Here is a 9,954-nt window from a genome sequence, read left to right as displayed (position 1 = left end):
TAGTCCTTTACAATAATTCTGCAAGGAAATTATAGCCCTCGTGTTATTTTGGGGACTCTGTGGTAGCTTTTTATTGTGTACATTTAGAGAAGCAAAATTACATCTTTATATGATTTGGGATTAGGTTTGGCCACAAGAGAAATTTGGATGAGATTTGGAAGACAGAAGTGAAGCAGCCATTTCCACACCAGGCTTGGTGGCAGCTTGCACACATTGTCACTGATCTGCTGGCTCCCTTGTGGGCACGGGCAGCATCCAGGCTCCCAGCTCCTCCATCTCCCACTGGATTTTCTCCTTCAGTTTCTCTGAAGCCCGAGCCAGGCATGTGTGCAGCACCATGGCTAAGGGCATTGGCTTCTCCCACAGGTCACTCATGCTGCCAAGGTTGGAGGTGTTTTGTCCTTGTGTATTCCAGTTTGTCCTCATGAGTTCCATTTGTCTGCATGGGTTCTAGTTTGTCCTTACTCTCCCCCATTTCCTGTGCAGCTTTCCTTCCTGCCAGCCTGGCTGATCTATAGTGGCTTAGGTCCAACGTCAGAAGCAGAGGCAACAGCCTTACATAGACTTCACACATCCCACTATTGTGTAAGATCTAAATCCTATAATAAATCCCTTATCCTACAGCACTCATAGTAGACTGCTTCTCTGATCATATCCTGACTGATAGAGACATTTTTGTTGCAAGTAATAAGAAACCACCTTCACATAGCCTAAGCCTAGAAAGGGTAATTATTTTAAGGATGTGGGAGTATCTCATGGAATCCAAGTGTGGAAAGGCAATTCGGTCACAGGGAGGGGAAGTTCTTCCATATTAAAACAACAACACAAAAACACTTCCTTTATCCCATATTCCATTCTCTAGTCTCTACCCCATTTATGAGCTCCCCTTCAAATGCAAAAATGGTCACACCCTTCTGCATTCCCTCACTTCCAGGACTCCTGAAACCCTCTGAAACCGAGTTCTAGCCAATAATGCCACCAAACTAGATTGTCAAGAGCAACGTATGTCTTCACACTCTCAATGTACCTGAACCTCAGCACTGCTGATGACTTGCTGTCTGGCTGGACACTGTGACTCACCACCCAGATCCCCCTTAGGTGAGGGGCTGTTGCCTCAGCGACTGAGGATAAGGAGGGCTGTGCACCTGTTTAGGGATGACCCCAGCCGCAGACATCCCCTCAGCCATCCCCTCCTCTCAGGCAGCCTACATCCAATATAACTGCGTGTGGGAGGGTAAAGGTCTGGCCACCCCAGCTAATCTCTGAACAGCCATTCTAGCTCCAGACAACCTGTAGGTGGGCCAAGGTGCCTTTAGTTCTGCATCGCAGCTCAACTTCTCTTTCTACCCACGCCTGTCTTCTTCCCTTCCTTTCCATGATGTTGAACCCAAAGACACCCCTGAATAAGGATCCTGGGACACCAAACTTGTCTCAGAGTCTGCTTCCTGAGGAAGCCAGCCCGGACAACCTTCCTCTTCCAGTGCTCCTCTTTTGGTGTCTGTGACTCCACTTTCTTTTGGTCCTTCTCCCGCTTCTCTGTCCTGTCCATATCTGTTTCTTTGCAGGCTTTCACTCTTCTCTCTGCCTTTTCTAAATGGGAGTTTCTCATTTCCCTACCCAGGCAAATTTATCTGCTCTTATGTTTTCAAATGGCATCTCTATGTTGATGACCCCTCGACTTACGTATTTAGCTAAGACTTCTCTTTAGGGTTCTGGTCTCTTATGTCCGATATCCAATTTCCTCCCTGACAACTGCACTTTGCTAACTTATAAGCATCTCAAAATTGATGTTTCTAAAACTAGACAATGTTCTTTCTTCTGAAGTTTGTTTCTCCCCCTAGAATTGTCCAATTCAGTCAACTGTATCCATCCCATGGTTCAGTCAGACACCTGGCTCCATCTATGGTCCTCCCTGTCTTTCATCCCCTACGTATCATTCAGCATGTACTGTCACTCATGTCTAGCCACAGCCATGCAGCTGGTACAAAGGGTCTGGGATTTCTTTAGGTTTCCTTCTTCCTGACTCCACTATAAGAACAGTATGGGAAGATCTGTCTGGAGGCAGGCAGATGTTGAACAATTAGTCATGCATACATCTTAGGTCAACTCCCAAAGTGCCCTTTGTGGGCTGCTTAGTTTCTCACAAAGGCACAGAGAGATGCAACAGGTCTGAGGATCCTGAATTCATTCTTATCATTTTGATAAAGCTATATTCTTTATTCTAGGGCATTGTCCAGGAATTGTTGCCATTAATCACTTTTATTAACTGAATATATCCCTATATGTGTGCACTTTGTATTGATATAAATAGCGTACATTCCTGTTGATGGGGGCAGGTGTTGCTTTGCTTTGTCCACAGTTCTTAGTCCATGGCAATCAAGAATAGGTAAGTATTACAGATTTGCAACAAGAAAGCAAGAAAACAAAGTAGAGTGCAAACCTTTTCTATAAAGAACATAGTCAATCAAATATTTACTGAATATCCACTTCATACCAGGTACCCTGCTAAGTGCTGTGAAAGGGCTCACTGATAAATAAGGCATGGATCCTGTGATTCCACAAAGCACAATATGTGAACAGTTTAATAATAAGGAGGAATTTAGTATTATGACTTTGTTTATACAAAGTAATACAGAGAAATTGTATATTGGAATTGTTTCTAAACAATGCTTTGCAAACAATTATAAGAGTAAGGACTGAGAAGTATTAAAAGATCCTTCAATTGTTTTGGGTCCAGTGGAGTATGTATCTAGGCCTCATCAGCACCTCGTCAGCACCTCAGCTATTCATTTCCACAGTAACTGAAAAGTCTAAGGGAGTAATACCATTAATACTTATCAGGGGAATTAGAATAATAATAGCATATGCTGAGGCTAACTATGTTTCGGGCACAGGCAATGCACTTTGCTCATATTATATCATTTAAATCTCACAACAACCCTATAAAGGAGCAACTATTCCAGAGGCTCAGAGAGCATAGACAGTCTCACATCCTGTAAGTGGTAAGAGCTGGGACTTGAACCCAGGTCTCAGCTTCTAACCAGTAAGTGAGATACCAAAGTCAGGATAGGAACTTTCCTCATCCCTTAGTAGCTCCTTCTGAGAAGAAAGAATGAAGAAAGACAGTGGAATTATATGGAGGAACAGGTTGGCTGGAGACAGAGGAAGCAGCATAAATTCTCTCAGGTACATTCCTCCAACAAACTTAAGGGGAGAAAGAAGACTTTGTAGGTGGGTGTTTACACACAGATTGCTAGAAAGTCAACTTCTCATTTGAAAACACTCCTGGATATAGGGCTGGAGTGTGTCCTAGAATGTGGATAAAGAAAGAAACATGGAGGTTGTTATTCCCGAACCTTGTAGGGAGAATGTGTATAAGGGTGGTCTAATTTTTAAAGATGAGCTCACAAATTCGAGAAATAATCCAGAAAACTGAACTTTAGTTAGAAAAAAAATGAGCAAAACTCTTCCATAGGGGACTCCATTATTCGTCTAGCAGAAAGTCTTAGGAATCCCTGGAACACTGGGGACTTGCACCAGCATGGAGACCTAACTGTTAAATTATCTGGAACTTCCCAAACAGACTGACATCTCATTGGTGGTTGGAAATCAACACGTTGGGAATATTTACACTATGAAAATCAGTAAATGTGTAAATCCCCCAGAGAGCTCATTGTTAAGTATTTACCAGCACACCATTGCCTAGAAGCAACAGGGGTTCTGATTACCACTTCTTCACCTGTACCAGGGACCTTAGTAGAACTAATGTGGTGAAAACTGGGGGAAGAGTAGGTGTAGAGAAGGAAGATGGGGAATACAGAAATGGAGTTAGAGCAAGTAATAAACACGCTACAGATTATGATTCCCACATCTGGCTGCATGTGTGAATTACCTCCGGAACTTTTCTTTTCTTTTTTTTTTTTTTTTTTGAGATGGAGTTTCACTCATTGCCCAAGCTGGAGTGCAATGGCACGATCTCGGCTCACCGCAACTTCTGCCTTCCGGGTTCAAGCGATTCTTCTGCCTCAGCCTCCCGAGTAGCTGGGATGACAGGCATGCGCCACCACGCCCAGCTAATTTTGTATTTTTAGTAGAGATGGGGTTTCACCACATCGGCCAGGCTGGTCTCGAACTCCTGACCTCAGGTGATCCACCCGCCTCGGCCTCCCGACGTGCTAGAATTACAGGTGTGAGCTGTAATTCAGCTTACCTGCTGAATTTTTTTTTTTTTTTTTTTTTTTTTTTTTTTTTTGAGACAGAGTCTTGCTCAGTAGCCCAGGCTGGAGTGCAGTGACTCGATCTCCGCTCACTGCAAGCTCCGCCTCCTGGGTTCATGCCATTCTCCTGCCTCAGCCTCCCGAGTAGCTGGGACTGCAGGCGCCTGCCACCACGGCCAGCTAATATTTTTGTATTTTTTAAGTAGAGACGGGGTTTCACCGTGTTAGCCAGGATGGTCGCCATCTCCTGACCTCGTGATCCGCCCACGTCGGCCTCCCAAAGTTCTGGGATTACATGAATTTTTAAAAAGATAAAGACCCCTAGTACTTAGTACATTTGACACTTGGAGCAGATAAACACTTTTTTCCTCTATGTGACAAAATTATTTAATAGTAATTATGCAATCATCAGTAACCACTAAATATGTTATATAAAGACATATAAATGTTATATCTAATGTGTGTATGTGTTATACACCATGTACATATAATAAAAACAACATAAGTAATGTTATATATGAAATAACATTTCCTTAACTCATTTTTAGTTTATAAATAATTAAAATAAAAATGAGAGAACAACTTTTACGTAGAAATATTATTCGATAAAATAGTTCATGTATGAAACAAAATTCATTCTTTCCAAAATATAACGTACCCATAATTTATGCCTTATTTTGTTATTTTAAATTTGAAACACAAATAAAACCTCCAGATAATTACACAGAATAACAGAATTGAAGTAACTCAAGTTCTGTTTCTTAGTCTGTAATAAGACTGAGACTATTACCACTTGTTATTCTTGTTTATTTAGAACCTACTGTTTGAATGCAAGAAAATGTTGTACCACAGATGTTGAGGACACAAATTAAACCCAAAGCAAATCAAACTCCCAACCATTAAAAACCTTCTCTTCAAATGAACATGTGTAGGTGAGACCATGTGGCTGACTGTATATATTAAACATATATAATACTGGAATTTCCTCAAATTAATTCCATGTTAAATATAATGTTTATGAAAGGATAAGTGATAATGATATGCAATTTAAAACTTGCATACGTATTACTTAAACTCAACAGTAGCAGCTTAGAATGTAGACTCCCCACAAAAAAAAAAAAAAAAGAAAAGATTTTCAGAGCTGGGTGTGGTGGCTTAGGTCTGTAATCCTAGTGCTTTGGGAGGCCGAGGCAGGAGGATCTTTTGAGCCCAGGAGAATGAGACCAGCCTGGGTAACATAGAGGGATCCTGTTTCTACAAAAAAAAAAAAAAAAGAAAGAAAAATCAGCCAGGGGTGGTGGTGCATGACTGTAGTCCCAGCTACACTACTCAGGAGTCTGAGTTGGGAGAATCACTTGAGTCCAGGAGATGGAGGCTGCAGTGAGCCATAATTGTACCACTGCACTCCAGCCTGGGTGACACAGAGTTACCGTCTCAAAGAAAATAAAAAAACACACACAGTTTTCGGCAGGGGAGGGGAGAGGTATTTCATCACTGATATCATTTAGTACTGCTAGCACATAGTGGTAATAAAAAGCAGACTGATTTCAATTGGTTCTATGATTGTTCTTTAAATTCTCAGAGAATGCACCCACTTATTGCCTGCACCTGTGTGTACTGCTCCCATCATCTCTGCCCTTGGCATGCCACTGCCTGGATCCCATCTCAAACCAAAATATTAAGAATCTTCTCGGGGGTGAGGCCCAGGAGTCTATTTTCATGAAAAGCTCTTGCATGTGATTCTAATGATCAGCCAGTTTTGGGAGCTGCTGATATGGGAACAAAAGGGACACAAATAGCTATGATTCAAAGTCAAGAGCGGAAGCTGGGATATCCAAGGAGCTGCTCAACTCTTCAAACCCATTCTTAGTTGTAATCACTGGTAGATGGACTGTCATTGAAGACAATGTTGTAATCATTGGTAGATGGACGATCATTGAAAACAACCCTGTTAAAGGAACCTCCAAGGGCAACTATAGGAAGTTCTCCTATTGTGTCATGAAAAATACTTAGCATGTAGATATTTACGTGTTAAAACAAGAAAACACGACTTTTTATTTAGTAATAAATTAGGAGAGTGTTTTTTAACTTCACTTATCTGTAATTAAAAAAAAACATATCAATGAGTCTTCATCCTTATTGATTCCTCTGCTCCATCTTCAGACCATTTCAGAAAAGTCTATCCTCAAAAAAGGCAGAATTTTAAAACAAATGCAAAACTTAGATGCTATTCCTTTGCCCTTTAATGGGCTTTCCGCCTCACTCAGACTAAAGACCAACTCTGGCTATAGCTACAAAGCCTTATGCCAAGTGGCCTCCCCTCCATCCTGCCACCACCACCTCTCTCAGTGTGACTCCTCACTCAGTGTCTTCCAGCCACATTGGCCTCTTGCTGTTCCTCGAACTCATTGAGCACTCCCACCTCAGGGCCTTTGCACTGTCGGTTGCCTCTGCCTGGAGCACTCTTCCCTCAGGAATTCACAAGGCTTCCTGCCTTACCTCCTTCAAGTCTGTGTCCAAATCTCTTGCCTGATATAAAAGAGCATTATTTTTCTTCATTGCACGTAACACCATCTAACATATCATATATTAATATTTTACTTGTTTATATATTTTATTTCCTCTACTAGATTATTGAGGGCAGGATTTTTGTTTAGATGTTTAATCTTTTTTTTTTTTTCTTTATTGAGGTGACATCTTGCTCTGTCACCCAAGCTGGAGTGCAGTGGTGCAATTTCAGCTCACTGCAGCCTGGACCTCCCGGGCTCAAGTGATCCTACCACCTCAGCCTCCCGAGTAGCTGGGACTACAGGCATTTACCACCACACTCAGCTTATGTTTAGTGTTGTATTTCTAGAACCTATCTTCTGCCTTGCCCATAGTTGACACTTAACAAATATTTGTTGAACAAATAAATGAATCAAAATGCAGATGACCAAACATCAAATAATAAAGAAATAATAATAATAATAATAATAAATGACTTACAAAAAATCTCTTTTTCCCCAAACCTTCTAAGTCATACTTCTAAAGGTAACCACTTGTAATTTTTTAAGCTATGTCTTCTGCTAGTTGTCCTGAGATCTCTAAATGACATACTTCTACTTACATTTCTTGATTTATCAGCTGCCAGCATTATCTAATGATGCCCTGCTATGATAGAGCTGAATGTGACACACTTGCACCTCCACTTTCCTCATCTTTCCAATGTAATCACTATGACTATTTTTAGTTACTTTGATTTTATTTGTACCTTAGTTATATTCTCTGTGTTTATTTTCATGTCTTTGAGACAGTGTCTACTGTCTCCTCAGTTTCTGAGATAAGGATATCAGCCCCTCTTTCTTTCCTTCCACCCTTTTCCTTCCTGGCCACCTCCCAGTTTGCATTGTCTTTCCTGAGCCATTCGTTTATATCATGGCATGTGACTAGGATTTCAAGTCTCATCACTGAAGTCTTCAAAAAGATCTCTAGGAGTCTGTGGCTGTTCCTAACAGACATTTCACTTTCCCCCGATCTCCATTTTAAATTTGGAAAAGAAGTAGTGTAGAGCAAGATTTGGAATGTTGTCTGGAGCATCTGGAGGGCAAAAAATTCTTGGAAGCTTGCCAGGGCAGCCTTCTGTAGGGGAGGCTCTGGCTTCTGGCTGGCCTCAGCTGTACATGCTTTGACACCTGACTCTTGCTGTCCACCTAGCGAGGTGAACCACTCAGGGGAGAACTCAGGTTAACCAAGTTTCCAAGACTGATGTACCAGTGCATGTCTTCCCAATCAGAAACAAAATAGTGATGCCAACAGGGAAGTGCACATTGGCAAGCTGAACATTCCCTCTCCCAGTAGACAGATGCATGTGAGAAACTGAATTATAATCAAAGGTAGCTTGGTGAGCATAGAGTCAAAGCAGGGGGTTAGACAAAATGGATGTTAAACCTCCATAGACACAGGTAGTGATCAATTCACTCATTAGGGAAGAAAAAGTGTTGCCAATGTGACCACAGTCCCTCAAGTTCTGTTGCCTGTGACCTCCTCTGCTGGTGTTTGTTTCTTCCTTTTTGTGTCTGCATCACTGATCAATCCCCTTTGGACCAACATATATTTTACATTTTTCTGTCATTCTCATTACAATCAAGTCTACTGTTCTGTGAGCCATGCTCTTTAAGGTAAGCTAGCACATCTCTATATTAAAATAATCATCTGAGAGCCTTCTTATTTCCCTCACTCCCTAATTCACAGCCAGTCATATTACTATTGCCTTCAGGTAAGAATATAATGTCTATTTTCTATTGATTGAAGGCATCCTGAAAATTCAGTGTCTCATAAATACAGCAAGCTTAGCATCGTATTTCTGTAGTAAGCACATTTCTAAAATGGATGGAGGCATTTCTGTGACAGCCAGAAGACTGGCTGGATGTCAGACCAGGTTCATGCTGGGCCTTAACATGTTTATAGCTGCCGTGACTTAAATGATATACCACCAGATGGTCTATCAGATCTTAAGGGGAACTGAACGAGGAATATCAGAGTTAATCAACTGTGTACAGGGCTTAGGAGTTTTTTTAGTTGTTTACCATTGTGTAGGACTGTATAATAGTATAGCTTATGATACAGAAAAATGGAAGAAAGGGAGGAATTAGATAAATAAAGCTAGAGTGAAACGTTTATTCATTTATTGAACATTTAATTGGTATTTATTGAGCATCAACTATTGGCTGAGTTTTGTATTACATCCTGGGGACATAGTACTGTGATGAATAAGGCAGATTACAATATCTGAACCAAAGTATTCATGGGGTTCACAATCCAGAGAGTGAGATAAACTTAAATAATAAAATTAAATAATAAAGACACAAATAATTCAGTAATTATAACTGTAAAAAAGGGCTATGAAAGAGAAGAACAGGGTATTATGAAAACATAAAACAGGAAGGACTGATCTAATGTGGGACAGGTAGGGTAGGTTGGAGATGACATTCCTAAGGATGGTAAGATGAGACCTGGAAGATCTGCAGAAGTTAACTCAGTAAGAGTTTGGGAAGAGCGTTTCATGTACAGGGGACAGCATGGGCAAAGACTAAGAGGCAGGCAGGAGCACAGCATATTGAAAGACCTGCAAGGCAAGCATTAGTAAACGGTATACATCAAGAGACTGAGATGGATAATATGAGAACTGGAAAGCAAATCATAATATTTCTAGCTGGCAACAATTATACCACTTCTGGGTGGAGGAATTATTGTTTAGTTCATATGGGTAGAATTCAGTTACCTGTTCAATAGGGAAAAAGTTAATATTATAGTCCATGAATTGGTATAACTTTTAGGTAAACTAATAATTCTGACAACTGGAAATTCATCTAGTCCATCTCATACAGTTTTAATAACTTTGGAATAAATACTTCTCCTGGAAACAAGAGTGCCTAAAATGTTTTTGGTGAATGAATATCATTTAGAGAATTTGGTCATCCTTGTTAAGAAGTGCTTTCTTCCCTTTTCTATCTATGCCCTTTGGAGTTCTTCCCAGTTATCAGGGCAATCCTTGACAGTCAAGTCCACCTTTGAAGGATGTATGTCATTTGTAAAGGTCTTTTGCTGAAAGATTAAAAGATCAAGGGAAACAAAGCTGCTTGTATTCCTAAACCACTGGTGGTCTCACAGGATTTTCTTTCCTTCATTTTTTGTTATCAAAGCATCATCCCAAATTCATCCTGTTGTCCAACACACCCATGTGCTTTTTGCTCCA

The sequence above is a fragment of the Homo sapiens genome, chromosome 10, assembly GCF_000001405.40.
Source record: "Homo sapiens chromosome 10, GRCh38.p14 Primary Assembly".
NCBI classification, from domain to species: Eukaryota; Metazoa; Chordata; class Mammalia; order Primates; family Hominidae; genus Homo; species Homo sapiens.
This window is presented reverse-complemented; position numbering follows the sequence as displayed.